General features: G+C 47.0%; 1 protein-coding gene across 17 annotated transcripts in view; it reads right to left on the bottom strand.

Moving 5' to 3' along the window:
• Positions 1 to 20,118, bottom strand: part of KATNIP (katanin interacting protein) — a 230,201-nt gene that overhangs the window by 118,357 nt on the left and 91,726 nt on the right. For 8 of the 17 annotated variants that reach the window (XM_005255201.4, XM_005255202.4, XM_011545775.3 and 5 more), the window contains 2 exons: positions 13,253 to 13,384; positions 7,252 to 7,380 (listed from right to left, as the gene is read on the bottom strand). The exons of 3 other annotated variants lie outside the window; for them this stretch is intronic. In XM_005255201.4, coding sequence (XP_005255258.1) covers positions 7,252 to 7,380; positions 13,253 to 13,384 — 261 coding nt within the window. The remainder of the gene's footprint in view (positions 1 to 7,251; positions 7,381 to 13,252; positions 13,385 to 20,118) is intronic. 6 more of the 17 variants (XM_005255203.4, NM_015202.5, XM_017023085.2 and 3 more) reach the window with 2 other exon arrangements.

Raw genomic sequence — 20,118 nt, 5'->3', positions numbered from 1 at the left:
GTATATATATATATATATATATATGTATGTGTATATATATATATATATATATATATATATATATATATATATATATTAGCCAGGCACAGTGGCTTGTGCCTGTAATCCCAGCTACCTGGGAGGCTGAGGTAGTAGGAAAGCTTGAGCTCAGGAGGTTGAGGCTGCAGTGAGCTATGATTACGCCACTGCACTCCAGCCTAGGTGACAGGGCAATACCCTGTCTGAAAAACAAACAAACTATAAATTAGTTGCCAACATAGAAATAATTGGGGGAAATCAAACATAAAGAAACCCAGGCCGGGCGCAGTGGCTCACGCCTGTAATCCCAGCACTTTGGGAGGCCTAGGTGGGTGGATCACCTGAGGTCAGGAGTTCGAGACCAGCCTGGCCAACATGGTGAAACCCCCGTCTCTACTAAAAATACAAAAATTAGCTGGGCATGGTGGTGTACGCCTGTAGTCCCAGCTACTTGGGAGGCTGAGGCAGGAGAATCGCATTAACCCGGGAGGCGGAGGTTGCAGTGAGCCGAGACCATGCCATTGCACTCCAGCCTGGGCGACAGAGTGAGACTCTGTTTCAAAAAAAAGAAAAGAAAGAAACCCAGAAACCCAGATACCTGGCTTCTCTTAAACCTAAAAAGCCTGGCACCACTAGGCCCATATTTCTACACGATGACAGTCCACTGTGATTGTCTGCTACTATCCCCACCATTCCCTGCATGCCCTGACTGACCCACCTGCCTCACTCAGGTGATTTAAAATATTCTCTCACATTAAGAACATGTGCCAGAAATCCCAATATTTCAGGATCCAAACTACATATCTCAAACTGACTCTTCTACCCCAAGCAACACAAAAATTCCTTGTTAGATTATGTGTCCTGATTCACAGTTTGGAAAACACTCACTGTAATCATAACTCAGTGATGTGATGACTGAAGTCCCTTGTGTGGGCTGGTCAGGGTGCCTAATCAACAGCTATACCACTCACTCATTGATTCAATCATTCAATCCACTTGCTCAATGAAGATTTATTTGCAGACCAACTCTATGCCAGGCACTTTTCTAGGGACAAGAGACACAGCAGGCAATGAGACGGAGCACATTCTGCTATCATGAAGCTTAGATCTGGGATGGGGGAAGGTGTTTGAGGCCCTAAATACTGAACTTGCAAAAGACCTAGAGCAATAGCTGGATGCGGTGGTGTGTGCCTGTATCCTGAGCTACTTGAGGGGGATGGCTTGGGGCCAGGTGTTTGAGGCTGTAGTGCACTATAATTGCACCTGTGAATAGCCACTGCATTATAGCCTGGGCAATGTAGTGAGACCCCATCTCTTAAAAAAAAAAAAAAAAGTACTGATATGAGCCAGAGCTCCACAAACTATTATGTATCGTCTACTCCCATCGATGGATTTGTTGTTGTTGTTGTTTTGTTCTGTTTGAGATGGAGTCTTGCTCTGTTGCCCAGGCTGGAGTGCAGTGGTGCCATCTCGGCTCACTGCAACCTCCACCTCCCGGGTTCAAGTGATTCTCCTGTCTCAGCCTCCTGAGTAGCTGGGATTACAGGCATGCGCCACCATGCCTGGTTAATTTTTGTATTTTTAATAGAGACGGGGTTTCACCATGTTGGCCAGGCTGGTCTCAAACTCCTGACCTCAGGTGATCCGCCCACCTTGGCCTCCCAAAATGCTGGGATAACAGGCGTGAGCCACTGCCGGCCAATCCACGGATTTTGTAATATGGGAATAAGATTTTCTTATAAACCATACCTAGGATTTACGATTTCAGAGCTGGCAGGTGCAGGAGATATTTAATTCACCGCTTCTTGTTAAAGGAGGAAATGGGGGCCCCAGAGGAGTATGACTTAGCCAAGGCCCCAGAATGTTTATGGAAAAACCCAAGCTACCTTCCCAGGCTTGCGGAATCTGTCACTTGGTATTTCTCCTCCCTAAAACAAGACTCGCAAACTCCGACATCCTCAGGAGGCGTAATGTTATATAAACTATCAAATAAACCACAGTGTTGTACAATAGGTAGTGGGGACCAGGCCAAACTGGGGGTGCATGCTCAGAAGAAAAGTTTTCTAAGTCCAAGTCAAACAGCAACAATGATAACCATGGCGTGCCACCAAACCGGCCAACAGAACACATCTGTGAGCTGAAGCTGGCCCTTCTAGTCACGAATCTGAGCCCTCAGTTTGGCCACACTCCCTCCCATTCCTCAGTGTATTTCTATCCTTATCCTGCATTTTAGCATATTTTTTCAAGTCATACCTAATCAGAAAGCCTCTCCTACATGCCTCTATTTTCTCTGCATTGTTTTTTCTCAAGTTTGAGCCACATTTTAAAATGTAACCAAACTTAGAAAAACCAAATAGGATGGGTACATATTTATTTTCATAACATAGTACTGTCTTAATATAATAACAATGCAAAATTAATTTTCTATTTATCTAAAATTCACTTTTTTTTTTTTTTGTATAGACAGGGTCTTGCTCTGTCCCCCAGGCTGGAGGGTAGTGGTGCGATCATGGCTTAGGGGAGCCTCAAACTCCTGGTGTCATGCAATCTTCCCACCTCAGCCTCCCGAGCAGCTGGGACTAGAGGTGCAGATTAGCATGCCCAGCTAATTTTAATTTTTTATAGAGATGAATTCTCACTATGTTGCCTAGGTTAATCTGCAACTTCTGGCCTCAAGTGATCCTCCTGCCTCGGCCTCCCAAGCACCAGGATTACAGGCATGAGTCACTGAGCCCAGCCAAATTTACCCATTTAAATAGTAAAAAACCTAAACAAATTATTCTGTATGTAAATATTTTGAAAATATATGAATACTTCCTTGTCTTCTTAAAAGACTATGCTGAACATAATTCAGTCTTTTTTTGATATTAATGGTCAATATTTTGGATACAAATTGACCTACAGGCCAGGCATGGTGGCTCACGCCTGTAATCCCAGCACTTTGGGAGACCAAGGCAGGTGTATCACTTGAGGTTAGAAGTTTGAGACTAGCCTGGCCAACATGGTGAAACCCCGTCTCTACTGGGAAAAAAAAAAAAAATTAGCTGGGCATGCTAGCACACATCTGTAATCCCAGCTACTCAGGAAGCTGAGGGATGAGAACTGCTTGAACCCGGAAGGCAGAGGTCACAGTGAGCTGAGATCATGCCACTGCACTCCAGCCTGGGCAGCTGAGTCAGACTCTGAAAAAACAAACAAACAACAACAACAACAAAAAACAAATTGACCTATAGTACAGGAGATATTTTTAGGGGCTATCTGCTTCTGTACTTCCATCTGTTATTTTTTTAAGGGACATCGTCTCCCCTCCAGGTTTCCAGAAGTGCAGAATATGGTTCCAAAGAGAAGGGCAGACCCCACCTTCCATCCTGTACCTTTCTGACCTTGGTGAAACTCTGTATTTTTGTTGCTTTTTAACTGGTTGGTCATCTTAACTTTGTACAATGTAGAAAAGCTTTTAATTTTGATTTTTTAAAATATCCCTTTTTTACAGTCCTCAAATCTAAGCCAAAAAGTCCAAAGTAACTTAAAAGATGCTCCTTCCATTGGAAGTGTGCTCTAATCTTCAGGTCTCTGGTTCAGAATCACTGGGAGTTCTTTTGCTAAAAATGTGCTACCTCCTATCTACAAATTCTATTAGCTTAAAAGTTCAGACCTAAAAAATGCGTCTTAAACAAATATCCTAAGCGATTCTTATGCATATCCAACTTTGAGAACTGCAGCTTTATCTTTTCCTTATAACTATGGTTCTCAAACATTGCGACAAATTATAGTCACATAAGGACGTTAAAAAAGGGAACAATGGCTGAGTGCAAACCCAGAATCAGATCCTCTGAGTGGTAAGACCTGGGTATTTGTGTTTTTATTTAATTTTTACTCTTTATGTTGAGCTAATTATAGATTTCCCATGCCATTTGTAAGGAAAAATAAAGAGAGAGCCCATGTACCCTTCACCCAGTTTCCCCCAATGGTAATACCTTGTATAACTACAGCATAACATCACAATTGGGAAACTACATTGATACAATCCTACTATGCTGTTTTTGTTTTTGTTTTTCCCAAGATGGAGTCTTGCTCTGTCATCCAGGCTGGAGTGCCGTGGCATGATCTCGGCTCACTGCAACCTCCGACTCCCGGGATCAAGCAATTCTCCTGCCTCAGCCTCCCAAGTAGCTGGGATTACAGGTGCACACCACCACGCCCAGCTAATTTTTGTATTTTTAGTAGAGACGGGGTTTCACCGTGTTGGCCAGACTGGTCTTGAACTCTTGACCTCGTGATCCACCCACCTCGGCCTCCCAAAGTGCTGGGATTACAGACATAAGCCACTGCGTCTGGCCTTGTTTTTTTTTTGTTTGTTTTGTTTTGTTTTGTTTTTTGTTTTTTAACTAGGTATGCTTTCTTTAGTAGAGATGGGATTTTGCCATGTTGGCCAGGCTGGTCTTGAACTCCTGACCTTGGTGATCCACCCGCCTCGTCCTCCCAAAATGCTAGGATTATAGGTGTTAGCCACTGTGCCCGGCCATTTTTCTCTATTTCTTCTTTTGGTGATGCTTAGTTCTACTGGAGCAGCTCCTCTCCTCTTTAATGTGCTAGCTTTTTCTATTTTGAAAAAATGTAAAACCTACAGAAAACGTATCATGCTAGTATAATGAACACCCAAATACCCTTCACGTATATTCACCAGTTGTTAACATTTTGCCACATTTCTCTCCTTCTCTCCCCTCCCACTTTTTCCTTCTCAATATGTACACACATATTCTTGATCCTGACCCATTTATGCACAGCCCCTCATGCCTGCACACTTCAGCATGTGTCTCCAGAGAACAAGGACATTCTCTTACATGGCCACAATGTAACTATCAAACTCAGAAAATTTAACATCAATACAATATTATCTAATATAATATAGTTCATCTCAAATTTCATTCATTTTCCAAAATTCTCCTTTTATGTAGCAATTCCTCTCCCTCACACCCCTAGGATCTCATCACACTGCCTTTATTGTGTTTTTTTTTAGGATTTTTTTTTTTTTATACTTTAAGTTTTAGGGTACATGTGCACATTGTGCAGGTTAGTTACATATGTATACATGTGCCATGCTGGTGCGCTGCACCCACTAGCTCGTCATCTAGCATTAGGTATATCTCCCAATGCTATCCCTCCCCCCTCCCCTCCCCACCACAGTCCCCAGAGTGTGATATTCCCCTTCCTGTGTCCATGTGATCTCATTGTTCAATTCCCACCTATGAGTGAGAATATGCGGTGTTTGGTTTTTTGTTCTTGCGATAGTTTACTGAGAATGATGATTTCCAATTTCATCCATGTCCCTACAAAGGACATGAACTCATCATTTTTTATGGCTGCATAGTATTCCATGGTGTATATGTGCCACATTTTCTTAATCCAGTCTATCGTTGTTGGACATTTGGGTTGGTTCCAAGTCTTTGCTATTGTGTTATTTCTTTACTCTCCTTTAATCTGAAACAGTGCCCTTTGTCTCTCATGCTACTGACTTTTTTTTCTTCCTTTTTTTTTTTTTTTTTTTTTCTGAGACAGAGTCTCACTCTGTTGCCTAGGCTGGAGTGTAGTGCCATGATCACAGCTCACTGCAGCCTCAACCTCCTGGGCTCAAGTGATCCTCCCACCTCAGCCTCCCAAGTAGCTGGGACTACAGGCATGCACCACCACACCCAACTAATTTTTTGTAGAGATGGAGTCTCCCTATGTTGCCCAGGCTGGTCTGGAACTCCTGGCTTCAAGCATTCCTACCACCTCGGCCTCCCAAAGGGCTGGGATGATAGGTATCAGCTACCGCACCTGGCTGCCACTGACATTTCTGAAGACTCCAGGCCAGTTGTTTTTAGAGTATCCCCCTCAATTTGGGTTTGTCTGGCTGTTTCCTCACTGGATTTCGCTTTTGAAAAACATTTTTCATCCACATTTTCAGTCATGGATTCACTGAGGAGATATTTGGCTAAGGAGAGTTCTCTCTATCATTGTTTAAAACATTATTAAGCATAACTGATGGATGGTCACCTCTGAATACCTTGCTCCTGGGTATAACATCAATAATATTCACAACAGACTGTGGCACATTCTGAGCAAAACCAGATGAGTGCAATATTCCCCGCCTGTGACTGTGAATTGTAAGGAACAAGGAGTCATGAGCCTGGGCTTCCAGCAGGGGCTTCCCTGAGGCCTGGGTGAGCAACATTATTTCTTTATTCCTCAGTTTCCTCAAACCATAACATGGGAATGAAAATCCCTAGAACTTAACTCACAGGGTTAACGTCGTGATGGATGTTACATGCTCAACATGGTGCTTGGCACTCGGTAAGTGCTCATTTAACGTGAGCTCTTATTATTTAAATGTAACATCATTAAGTCAAATCTCTTGTGAATTGTTTTACATCTTCTGGCCAGGCGCAGCGGCTCATGCCTGTAATCCCAGCACTTTGGGAGGTTGAGGCAGGAGGATCACTTGAGCCAGGAGTTTGAGACCAGCCTGGGCAATAAAGCAAGACCTTGTCTCTCAAAAATAAATAAATAAATAAATAAATAAATAATTGGCTGGACATGGTGGTGCGTACCTGTAACCCCAGCTACTTGGGAGGCTGAGGTGGGAGGATCACTAGAGCCCAGGAGTTCAAAGCCGCAGTGAGCCATGATTGCACCACTGTATTCTAGCCTGGGAGACAGAGCAAGACTCCATCTCTTTAAACAAACAAACAAACAAAATATATATATATATATATATATATATATATATATATATATATATATATATATCCATTCTAGGGGGTAGCAGCCCAGCGGTTTTTGTTTGTATATTTGTTTTGAGACAGCTTCTCTCTTTGTCATCCAGGCAGACATGCAGTAGCACAATCATAGCTCACTGCAACCTTGAATTCCTGGACTCAAGTGATCCTCCGGCCTCAGTTTCTCAAGTACCTGGGACTGCAGGCACATGCCACCACACCCTGCACATTTTAAAAATTTTTAGTTGAGACAAGGTCTTGCTGTTTCCCAGGCTGGTCTCTAACTCCTGAGCTCAAGCCATCCTCCTGCCTCAGCCTCCCAAAGTGCTGGGATTACAGGTATAAGCCACCGTGCCCGCCCTGTGGTTTTCCTAGACTCTCTCACGGAGTCCATCTTAAGGCAGGCACAGCTGCTTGGCTACGGAAAAGATCCCCAGCCCTTAGGGGTTAGGATGCTGAAAACTGATCTTACCATCACATCCTGAATAGTTAAGAGGATCCTTTCTTTGTCCACGCTGCTTGAAGGGTCAGAATGTCCACATGCATTCAGAAGGGAGAAGTTAAAACCACAGGGCTTGGTACTGGTGGGAGATTTGGTATCCTAGGGACAAGCACAGAAAACTGGGCATGGTAAAAACAACTTCCTGTCCCTGAAGACATGCTGGGGCCTCGCTCTTCTGTTGGTCTCCCTGCCTCCCATCTTCTCCTCATTAAATCACCCTCTGCTCTTGCTCCTAAAGTGGATCTGATCACTCTCATCCCTGCTACATCAACACCATTGCTGGCACACAGCCAGTCAATGGACCAGGATCCAAACTCAGGCCACCAACTCCTAAAACAGTGCTCTGAACCATGGAGCTGTATGGCAGTTGAGTGAGTACCAGTGTAGAAAGATGGCCAAGGTATGTTGTTGAGTTTTTTTAAAAAATGGGAGGCCAGGCACAGTGGCTCACATCTGTAATCCTAGCACTTTGGGAGGCTGAGGCGGGCAGATCACCTGAGGTCAGGAGTTCGAGACTAGCCTGGCCAACATGGTGAAATCCCATCTCTACTAAAAATTCAAAAATTAGCCAGGTGTGTTGGCACGTGCCTGTAGTCCCAGCTACATGACAGGCTGAGGCAGAAGAACTGCTTGAACCCAGGAGGCAGAGGTTGCAGTGAGCCAAGATCTCACCACTGCACTCCAGCCAGGGTGACAGAGCAAGACTCCGTCTTTAAATAAATAAATAAGTAAATGGGGCTGGCCATGGTGGCTTAGCCTTGTAATATCTGGAAATTTGGGAGGCTGAGGCAGGAGGATTGCTTGAGCCCAGGAGTTCAAGACCAGCCAGGGCAACATAGTGGGATATGAGACCCTATCTCTACCAAAAAACTCCCCAACAATTAGCTGGATGTGGTGGTGAGTTCCTGTTGTCTCAGCTCTTCGGGAGGCTGACGCAGGATGACTGCTTTATCCTGGGAGGTAGAGGTTGCAATGAGCTGTGATTGTGCTACTGCACTCCAGCCTGGGTGGCAGAGCGAGACTTTGTCTCAAAAAGAAAAAAAAAAAAAAGTGGGAAAATCAAATAGCATGGATGGTATAATCCCATTTATGTGAAAATAACCATTAAAAATGTTAAAAAGGCACCCACTCAGAGGTCATTTATATGGTAACCCCAAACAGCAGGAACTGCCCTAAGTTCCTGCTGTGGTAAACCCCACGCATTGAAACTGCCCTAAGTCTCATCACTGGAACGAATGAAGGAAGACTGAAGGGATGTGCTGCAGAGTCTGGCTGGGGGCAGGGTTGGGGTGGGCTGGCCAAGGATGGTGGTCTTTAGTCGTTTATAAATGTCAGCAATAACCACTTTAAGACACTGAACTGTTACTGTGAGAAAAAACCAGACTCACCCCATGCCACCATCCACCCAATGGAAAGAACACTCAGAAGGCATTCCAGAAGACTTCAGGGTGGCCCTGTCTTCCTGTCACGTATCACGCTCTCAGGGACTTCAGAGGTAACTAAACTTGGGAGATACCACTCACTGGGAACGAGACAGGTCCAGGATATTCTGGATCAATGATCTCTTCTTGGATATAATGAAATATGCCATTTTTAGTCCGGATGGTTATCTACCCATCTACTCACAATAATTATCTCTGGGGCAGTGGGATTATGAAAGGACTTTTGTTTTCTTTGTATCATTTGATTTTTTGTTTTTTTTCTTTTAGAGACAGGGTCTTGCTCTGTCACCCAGGCTGGAGTGCAGTGGCATAATCATCGCTTATGGTAGCCTTGTCATTTGAATTTTTTATATCAATTATGCATTATCAGGAAAATAAGTATCATAATTTTTTAAAACGTAAACTTTGTTTCATTCCTGATACATCAACAGAGACAATATAATTTTTTTTTTTTTTTTTGAGATGGAGTTTCACTCTGCCCCTGCAGTACAGTGGCTCCATCTCGGCTCCTGTAACTTCTGCCTCCTAGGTTCAAGTGATTCTCCTGCCTCGGCCTCCTGAGTAGCTGGGATTACAGGTGTGTGCCACTACACCTGGCTAATTTTTATATTTTTAGTAGAGATGGGGTTTCACCATGTTGGTCAGGCTGGTCTCGAACCCCTGATCTTAAGCGACCCTTCACCTCCCAAAGTGCTGGTATTACAGATGTGAGCCACAGCGCCCAGCAAGAGACAATACCACTTAAACGGTGAACATATCATCCATTGCAGCATACAACCATGTGCCCAGGAAAGCCAACATAACTAAGACTTGCCACTTTGGCAGAACTCTCTGGAAAGCGGTGTCTTCCTTTCACCAGAGATGTAAAACAGGTATGATGGTTTCCCCTCAAACTTAAGGAGAATCCCGTATCTTTATTTCTGCCCTCAAGCCCCATGCAATCTGACCCATGGCTGCTTCTCTGACCTCTCCTCTACTTAAGTATCACCTCATCAAGGGGAAGCCCCTGCACCCTCCATATAAAATAGCAGCCCCTGGCCATTTTTCTCTATCCCCTTCCTATTTTATTTTTCTTATCAGCCCTGTTGTCTCCTGACACATTATATACTTGTTTCTCTTCTGCCTTATCCTCAGTGTCCGGAATGGTACCCAGGATGGTGGTACACTGGAGCACACACACCTAAGTAAGGGGACAGCTGTTCCTCAGCTCTGGTCACTGTTAGTGTATAAGAATGTGGAACCCTTGCCTGGGCATGGTGGCTCACGCCTGTAATCCCAGCACTTTGGGAGGGTGAGGCGGGCAAATCACCTGAGGTCAGGAGTTCGAGACCAGTCTGGCCAACATGGTGAAACCCCATCTCTACTAAAAATACAAAAATTAGTGGGGCGTACTGGTTGGCGCCTGTAATCTCAACTACTCGGGAGGCAGAGGCTGGAGAATCGCTTGAACCCTGGAGGCAGAGGTTGCAGTGAGCCGAGATCGCACCACTGCACTCTGGCCTGGGTGACAAGAGTGAGACAACGTCTCAAAATAAATAAATAAATAAAAATGTCAGCTAGTAATTCACATCTTTTAAAAGCAATGTACAAGTCAACGGGGTGGAGGGCAACAGAACATGTCTGCAGCAAGCCAGTCTGTGAACTCAGAGAAGCTATGAAATTGAACTTCACGGAAGATGTGATTAAAGGCGAGAGGCTGGTGTGTTTCAACAGTGAAGGTCAGATGAAAAGTACATATGCGGACATGCATTTCCTCTTGCTCCATTTCAGGTTGCGCTTGCAAACAGTGTGAGGTGGCTGAGTATATTTAGCCACGTGCCTTTTTTTTTTTTCCCTGTTCAGATTGCATCTCTTAAGACTTCTGCCTTTGCTGAAAACTGGCATTGCCATTTTACTCTTACACTTTGCAGGAAAATAACTCCAAGAGGAAATTGACTGTGAAGCCTTATGGAGTGCCCCCTCAAGATGGGGAAAAAAAAGAAAAGAGAGAAATATAATCAAGCACTCAGAGTGGAGAAAATTAAGTGCTGGCGGAGCAGCAGCCATGCCTATGCGGAGTATGTGCACAAAAGGATGCTAATGGGACTTAATGCTGCTGTCCCGTGTTGTAGGGAGCTTGAGAGCTCACAAAGGAAGGGCTATATGTTAATTTAACGAGAGGTGCCCAATGCTTGACCAAAGGCAAACTACCATGGCCTCTTGCTTGAAGGGCACATACATATCTGGGGCTGGGACTGTAACATATTATGCTTGGCTAAAAACCAGCCTCCCAATTAAGAGAAATTGATGGCTGTTTTGCACAGACTGATCCTGAGCAGGGGGCTGTTTAGTTCAAAAGCAAATTGTCTGTGTTGTTTGGGATTTGAGTTTTAAAGGTAATAAAGTCCACAATTTTGCCTACTGTTTAACCCCACTTTAATGGACTGGGCAGAGAAACAAAGTCATTGGATCATTCCATAGAAAACGACTTTTATATTCTGTTTTAGGGAAACAAAAATTTCCAACATACTCGGGTATTTTACAACCAAGATGTGAAACAAAGTGATCCTTGCTCTTTATCTGTCTTTCCTTTATCAGCAAATAAGGAAGTACAAGCATGAAAGCAAAATCGGAGGAACATTTCCTGGACAGCATTCCCATCTCCAGTAAGAGTCCTTCTCACTTCATAAAAGCGATACGTAGAAGCAAGACTCTGCCTTTGCGGTGACGTCACTGAATATGCAGCCGGGGCCCAGAGTTGAACAAATGCCACTCTGGCAAGCGGGGCAGGGTCTGGCTTAGCAACTTGACTTTGACCTACCACCTCTGGATAATTTTGCTTCTACATAACTATGGAGATGATGTACTCATTCTATTTATAAAAATAATGCCCTTGGAGTAAACCCCAACCATCCACTCCTACCTCCACCCTGGCCCAGGCCTGTTCTGCCCCAGTGCACCTAATCTTCCTTCATTCTTTATCCCCCTTGTTCACACTGTGCCTGCATCCTGCTCCTTGAACAAGCCTGGCCTCATGCCGTTGCACGCTTGCTGCTTCCTCTATCTGGAATGCCTTTCTCATTGCTCCTTGCCAAGCCACTCCTTTTTTTTTTTAGACACAGTTTCACTCTGTCGCCCAGGCTGGAATGCAGTGGTGCAGTCTTGGCTCACTGCAACCTCTGCCTCCCGGGTTCAAGAGGTTCTCCTGTCTCAGCCTCCCAAGCAGCTGGGATTATAGGCGCACACCACCACGCCCAGCTAATTTTTGTATTACAAGTAAAGATGGGGTTTCAACATGGCCAGGCTGGTCTTGAACTCCTGATCTCAGGTGATCTGCCCACCTTGGCCTCCCAAAGTGCTAGGATTACAGGCGTGAGCCACAGCGCCTGGCCCCAGGTCACTCCTAATCCATCAGGTTTCAACTGAAATGTCATGCTGGAAAGAGGCCTTCCTTCTCTCTCTATCCTGGCTAACACTGCCTTCTCTCCCACACCATCTTGCTATCCCATCTTTCTCTTCTGTTTTCTTCAGAGAACTTACTGATACCTGAAATGATCTCATCGTTTATTTCTTCCTTTTTTCTTCATTGTCTGTCTCCCCTTTGGAGCACAGGTTGCTTAAGAACAGGCACCTCACTGGGTGTGACCCATGCCTGTAATCCCAGCTACTCAGGAAGCTGGGGTGAGAGGATGGCTTGAGCCCAGGAGTTCAAGGCTGCAGTGAGCTATGATTGTACCAATGCACTCCAGCCTGGGTAACAGAGCACAATTCCGTCTTTAAAAAATAATACAAAAATAAAAAAGTATAGGCACCTCTTCAGTTTTGTTCATTTCTGAATCTCTGGTGCCTGGGACAGAGCCTGATGGTCAGTGAGAGGTGCTTAACAAATGCTTGTGGAAGGAAGGACTGGGATATACTTTTGCAGTTCAAAGGACTTCAGGAATGAAATGGCAATCTGAGGATGGGGAGTAAAATGTCCTGTTGTCAACCCTGTAAGCTGCTAAACCGACATGGACTCCAAGCCAAAGCTGCATAGGCCTCTAGGCTTTTAAACATGTGGCTCCTGCCGCCCTGCGGGTGGTATTCGAAATATTTATCAGGTGCATGTATACACGTGTGGACAGGCTGAGCATCAGCAATTGCTGCCTGCCCTCACCAACTTGCCCCTCAAACTCTTACCCAGCTTTTAGGACCCAGGACAAAAGTCACTCCCTCTAGGAAGCCTTCCGGGATCCTCTCCCTCCTCTGTCTGCGCCATGCTCTGCCCCAACCTCTCTGCATTCTCTCCCTGTACAGGGACTATGTGCTAGTGACCCTTAGAAGTCAGACCCCAGCCTCACCGACCCCTGGTCACCGGGTGCCTCTGAATGCTGACCTCTAGCCCAAGGTCTGCTCATCAAACTGTGTGAAATGAACGCAAGAGTGAAGGAACACAGCGGCGAGTGAAGGACAGAATAAATAACTGTCAGAAAGTGCCCCGAGGGGCCACTGCAGCACCGAGCCTCGCCGTCCTTCAGGTGTCCCGAGCACAAGGCCAAGGCCATCCCTACCTGCGGACGATCCTCAGAAGTGTTGTTTGCCTGGAGAGTCACATCCCCACACAGCTCAAAATCATCAGAATAGTCCACAGGAGGTTCGATGTGGAGCCGTGGGCCAGCTTCTGTTCTGATCTGCACAGATTTCTGTACAAAAATGCAGGCCATTTCAGATAAGGTGGAATGAGGTCTTCATTCCTCTGCGGGGCAGGGACTGGCACTGGAGAGGTTCAGCCAGGATCTATGGGCATAGATACCATGGGGTGGTGTGCCTGCATGCAACAGCAGTGGTGTCATGATGAGCATGGGCCACAGGCCTCCTCCTCATCCGGGCCAGCACTGGATGGGCCATGCCGCCTCGCTCAAGAGTCTACTGTTTCTTGCTGTCCAAAGAACGTGCAGGAGAATTTTTAAAAATAACTTTTTGGTTGGCAATTCTGTTCTTTTTTTTTTTTTTTGAGTCAGGATCTCACTCTGTTGCCCAGGCTGGAGTGCAATGGTGCGATCTTGGATCCCTGCAACCTCTACCTCCTAGGTTCAAGTAATTCTCCTGCCTCAGCCTCCTGAGTAGCTGGGACAACAGGCACCTGCCACCACGCGGCAAATTTCTGTATTTTTAGTAGAGACGGGGTTTTGCCACGTTGGCCAGGCTTGTCTTCAACTCCTGGCCTCAAGTGATTCACCCACCTCGTCCTCCCCAAGTGCTGAGATTACAGGCATGAGCCACTATGCCCAGTCGGTTGGAAATTCTTTATCAGTAGACTTCTAGTAGGTGCTAAACTTCTCAAAAAGGACTTGTGGTCAAGGCGTGGTAGCTCACACCTGTAATCTCAGGATTTTGGAAGGCCGAGGCAGGAGGATCACTTGAGGCCAGGAGTTGGAGCCCAGCCTAGGCAACATAGTGAGACCCCCATCTCTACAAAAAAATTTAAAAAATTAACCAGGTGGCGGGGCATGGTGCCTCACACCTGTAATCCCAGCACTTTGGATGGCCGAGGTGGGCGGATCACCTGAGGTCAGGAGTTCGAGACCAGCCTGACCAAGATGGAGAAACCCCATCTCTACTAAAAACACAAAATTAGTCAGGTGTGGTGGCGCATGCCTGTAGTCCCAGCTACTCAGGAGGCTGAGGCAGGAGAATCGCTTGAACCCGGGAGGCAGAGGTTGCAGTGAGCCGAGATCATGCCATTGCACTCCAGCCTGGGCAACAAGAGCGAAACTCCATTTAAAAAAAAAAAAAAATTAGCCAGGTGTGGTGGTGTGTGCCTGTTGTCCCAGCTACTCGGGAGGCTGAGGTGGGGGGATTGCTTGAGCCCAGGAGTTCGAGGCTGCAGTGAGCCAAGATCACACTACTGCACTGCAGCCTGGGTGACAATGTGACACCCTGTCTTTAAATAAAAGAAAGGGGGGGGCTTTGTGATTAGACTTGTTTGGGAAACCCTGGCCTACATACTCACACTGCAGATATCCTAAAATGAAACACAGCATGGGACATTTCCCAAACTTTCTGGACTGCAGACACTCTGGACTGGGGCCTCTCTTTCTTCTAGTATCCTTTGGATCGTTCTTTGGGAAGGAAACTCATTGGCCTGGTGTGGCTGATTACAGACTCCCCTCCAATGTCCACTTTCCCCTGCTTCTACTGCCTGTAGTTCCAGATGTGCACATGGAGTCCCAGGTTCCCCTGCAGCTAAGAGGAACCGCGTGAACCCGTTCTGACTCACAAGCTGTGGGTGGGAGGGAGGGATGTGCATTGCATCTTCTAGGTGTTTCCTCAAAGGGCAGGGGCCAGCTTCCCCAGGCCCTGCAGCTTCCTCTGCCAGCTGCAATGGGGAGGTGGGAGTGAGCTGACTGGTGCTGGGGGGAGGAAAGCAACATCTGGAGGATGGTCAGAGTAACAGGGGTTCCTGGGTGACCTCATGGAGCAAGGGCGAGTGCTCCCATCTAAGCAGTGTTGTGTCAGAGACAACAGCTTTCATGCTGTTGAAGCCACTGTTACTTGTGTCTCCCTGCTGGAGCAGCCAAACCTGTACCTTAACTGATGTACCTGGCACGCAAGGTTCCCTACCATGTGGCCACAGCCCACCTTCTTGCCCTGATTGCTGCACAGACAACCACACACCTGATAATTAGGCCAAACAAAGGGCTTCTGGGGCTGCGAGGATCTGCAGCTTCATCAGTCCAGCATCCAGGCTGTGTCCTTCAGGAAACACCTCCCTTGTTTTCCTCTGGGGCCCAATTTCCTCCCAACTCTCAGTCCACATGTGGCCCCATGGTGGGGATTTGAGGCAGGCCTGGCCAATCCACCTATTCCACCCTTATAACATGCTATGGCCAGCCAGTCCAGGGATAGAAACGGACCTAAGGCAGCAATGAGAACAGCCCTGGATTCCTGTTAGAGCCGTGGGAAAGAGGTGCTCTCTTCTTGAGGGATGTGAAGCTAGAGGGAAGTCTATCAGGAGCTGCTGGGGACCATCCTGTCCCTAACAGAAAGAGCAAAGAGAGCTGAGAGGATGAAGCAGAGTCCTGATGGGTTTTAGAAGCCCTGGATCCAGCTGCACCTGAAGCGAGCCCCACTGAAACATTCTCCTTTTTGCTTACACCAGTGTGAAGAGGATTAAAGTTATTTGTGACAGTCTTGGCCCTCCCTTGTACCCTGAACTCTCCCACCTCTGTGCCTCTGCTTATGCTATTCTCCCAATCTGAATGCCATTTTCCCAAATCTTTTCCATGCATCCAAACCCTACCTAGCTTTGGAGACAATGCTCTCTGCCTACCTGGTATCTGTCAGCTGCCTGACTCTACTGAGGTGGCCATGTGCCCCACTAAGACGGTCACATTGCTGGGGGCCCTTGCAGCTAGGGATGGCCACGAGATCCAGGTGTGGCAATGCTAGTGGTTAGAAGTCTACGAGGCAGAGCTTCAGAGAAAACTCTGTTTTCCTGGTAATCAGGAGAGACTCAGTGCAGACAGGACTTCTGCCCTTTACCCTTCTACCCTTCTTCCTGACCGGAATGTGGATGGGATGTTTGGGAACACAGCAGTCATCTTGTGAGAATGAGGAAGAAAGCCACACACCAAAGATGGCCCAGCGCAACAGAGAAGCTGGGTTACTGGTGGCACCACCCACCCATGCCACCAGCCTGCCTCCAAATGCACTGTTCACAAATGAGGAAAACAGGAGCCATGTTCTCTAAGATGCAGCAATCTAGTTTCTGTTGCAAGCAGCTCAACTCCATCCCACTTGCTAACCCACTCTGGGCACTTGTTACTTTTGTGTTTCTGTTACCGTGGCTCCTGTGTGGTGAAGGGCCCAGGTTCTAGACTCCGGCATGCTACGTGATTCCTGGAACTCTGATGCCTACTCCTTGTGTGACCTTGAGCAAGTCATCTAGCCTCCCTGAGCCCGGTTTCCAAATCTGTTAAGACACCACTCATGAATCTTCATCAGAGAGCTGCCACAAAGATGACACGCAGTGACGCAGGTGAGCCCTCGGCTGGGGCTTTGGCACACAGCACCACAGGGCTGTACCTATTTACACGGCATCAACTCTGCACAGGTCACCAGACTGCCTCTCAGGTGTATGTTTCATTCGGCATAGCCCCCAAAAGCCAGCCAACCATGTCCTCTGGTAGTGAACCAGAGAAACTGCCACCTGCTCCAAGGCCACAGGTAAAGCTGGCTGTGTTGGACTCAGTAAGCAGGGCCAGGGCTGGCTTGAGGGGAGCAAGGTGCCCAGGGTGTGATATTTAAGGGAGTCTCACTCTCAGGCACCAACCTGTCCATGCACAAATCTGAGCATGAGGCCTCCTTTAATATTCTGCTCCAGGTGCCTTACTTACCTCACCCTCTCCTGGCCCTGTTACTGAAAGATAGAACAGGACACAGAGTATGTGCATGAACTCCAAGACTCACAAAAGGGGTACTCAAGGGTATTTAGGGGCTGGGCAAGGTGACTCTTGCCTGTAATCCCAGCACTTTGGGAGGCTGAGATGGGAGGACTGCTTGAGTCCAGGAGTTTGAAACCAGTCTGGGCAACATAGTGAGACCACATCTCTAAAAAAATAAATAGATAAATTAGCCGGGCGTGGTGATACGTGCCTGTAGTCCCAGCTACTTGGGAGGGCAAGGCAAGAGGATCACTTGAGCCTAGGAGTTCGAGGCTGCAGTGAGCTATGATCACGTCACTATGCTCCAGCCTGGGTGACAAAGCGAGATCCTGGCTCTAAAGAAAAAGTGAGCAAAGAAGGGCTCAGAGAAGGACAAGTGACTAAAAGAAAAATGATGCAGGAGGAAATTGAGAGACAAGGTCTCCGTGGGAGCCTGTGAATGGGGCTGGCACCCAGCCAGATGCCCACGAGGGCTGTTATTATAGGAGGCTCTGGAGCTAAGAGGGGCTGGGGACGGCATGATCAAGATTACATCTTTGGCTGGGCGCGGTGGTTCATGCCTGTAATCCCAGCACTATGAGAGGCTGAGGAGGGCGGATCAGTTGAGATCAGGAGTTCGAGACCAGCCTGGCCAGCATGGTGAAACCCTGTCTCTACCAAAAATACAAAAATTAGCCAGGTGTGGTGGTGTGTGCCTGTAGTTCCAGGTACTCGGGAGGCTGAGGCAGGAGAATCGCTTGAGCCTGGCAGGTGGAGCCTGCAGTGAGCCGAGATCGCACCTCTGCACTCCAGCCTGGGCAACAGAGTAAGACCCTGCTTAAAAAAAAAAAAAAAAAAAAAGATTATGTCTCTGGAAGATGGACTAGGGAGGAATTGGCCCTAGAAAAAGCAATTTCCTAGAACTGGTCCTAGAAGCAGCAAAAAAATAAATAAATAAAAAAGAAAAAGGGGTGGTGGTGGTGGTGGTAATTAGGGCATGCATTTCCCTTGAAGCCCTGGGGTTAGAACCTTTCACCCCTTGTAATATTCAATTCCCTGCAGGTTTAGTAAACATAAGGATTATCTAGATGATGAAGAAAATGATGTCAGAGTCTTACTGACCTACCAAACTCTAGTAGTTTGGACAGAACTCCTTTCTGATCCAAGTTCACAATGCCCCGCTCACCCATCAACGCTTTCACACTACGTGCCATGTCACTGGGTGCCACTCCAAGCACTCAGGTGCATTCACTCATTTAGTTCTTTTTTTTTTTTTTTTTTTTTTTTTTTGAGACAGAGTCTCACTCTGTTACCCAGCCTGGAGTGCAGCGGGGTGATCTCGACTCACTGCAACCTCTGCCTCCTGGGTTCAAGCAATTCTCCTGCCTCAGCCTCCTGAGTAGCTGGAACTACAGGTGCCCGCCACCAGGCCCAGATAATTTTTGTACTTTTAGTAGAGACGGGGCTTTGCCAAGTTGGCCAAGCTGGTCTTGAACTCCTGACATCAGGTGATCTACCTGCCTTGGCCTCCCAAAGTGTTGGGATTACAGGTGTAAGCCACTGTGCCTGGCCGCTCATTTAGTTCTCAAAGCAACCCAAGGGGGAAACTGAGTCACAAGGGTGTAGGCCACTTGCCCAAGGCCACACAGCGAGGAAGTTGCACAGCCTAATCACAGGCCTGACACTAAACCAAAGATGGGCCAACATTTCCTGTAAAGGGCCAGAAGGATTTTAGACTTTGCAAGCTATATGGTCTCTGTTAGGATACTCAGCAATCCTATTGCAGCTCAAAAGCAGCCACAGGCAATGACTAAAGAAATGGGCACGGTTGTGTTCCAGTAACACTTTATTTACAAATACGGGCTGAGGCTAGATTTGGCCCAAGGGCTGTAGTTGTGGATGAACTCTTGTTCTAAATCACCATGCTGTACTGCCCCCAGCAGGCGTGTTGAAGAATAAATGTGTCCCACCTGGGCTGGGTGTGGTGGCTCACACCTCTAATCCCAGCTCTTCAGGAGGCTGAGGTGGGAGGATTGTTTGAGGCCAGGATTTTGAGAGCAGCCTAGGCAACACGGTGAGACCTTGTCTCCACAAAAAAAAAAAAAAAAAAATTTTTTAAAAATTAAAAAACAATGTGTCCAGCCTGGGCTATAGAGGCCTTTGGACTGGGATTAGAGAACTTCCCTGGTGTCCCATGTTGCCCTGGGTTCCAGCTCCACATATGGCGCAGCTTCCTCCCAGGCCCTATCAACTCGGTCTTAGCACATGTGTTACCCTCGGCGCTAGGGCTGTGGAGGGAAAGCACTACCCGGAACATATAACCAAAACCGGGGGTTTCCAGGCCCGGAGATTCCTGGAGGTCTTCCTACCTCGACTGGGATGAAGCTGTAACGGCTTTGAAGTTCATCATTGATTTGAATTTTTCTTTTTATTATACTTTAAGTTTTAGGCCCCACAGCAGGCCCCCCACAACAGGCTCTGGTGTGTGATGTTCCCCTTCCTGTGTCCATGTGTTCTCATTGTTCAATTCCCACCTATGAGTGAGAACATGCGGTGTTTGGTTTTTTGTTCTTGCGATAGTTTGCTGAGAATGATTCCAGCATTCATCCATGTCCCTACAAAGGACATATAGTTTCCAGCTTCATCCATGTCCCTACAAAGGACATGAACTCATCATTTTTTATGGCTGCATAGTATTCCATGGTGTATATGTGCCACATTTTGTTAATCCAATCTATCATTGTTGGACATCTGTGTTGGTCCCAAGTCTTTGCTATTGTGAATAGTGCCGCAATTTTCTACCATACCTCCCAGGAGAGCATGCTCCTCCCTCCTCCCCAGAAACTACTCAATTTACATCCAAATACCAGGAGGCCTTCTAGCCGGGGAAGAGATGGCTCGAGAAGGGGCAAGGAGGAGGGACCACGGGGCACGGGGCCCAGGCCTGAGGAGCTGCCTGACTCACCAGCACCGGCCAGGGCCTAGGGTGCGGCCTGGCCTCCCCATGGGTT

The sequence above is a fragment of the Homo sapiens genome, chromosome 16, assembly GCF_000001405.40.
Source record: "Homo sapiens chromosome 16, GRCh38.p14 Primary Assembly".
Classification (NCBI taxonomy): Eukaryota; Metazoa; Chordata; class Mammalia; order Primates; family Hominidae; genus Homo; species Homo sapiens.
Note: the sequence above shows the minus strand (reverse complement) of the source record. Positions and strands in the feature narration are given on the sequence as shown.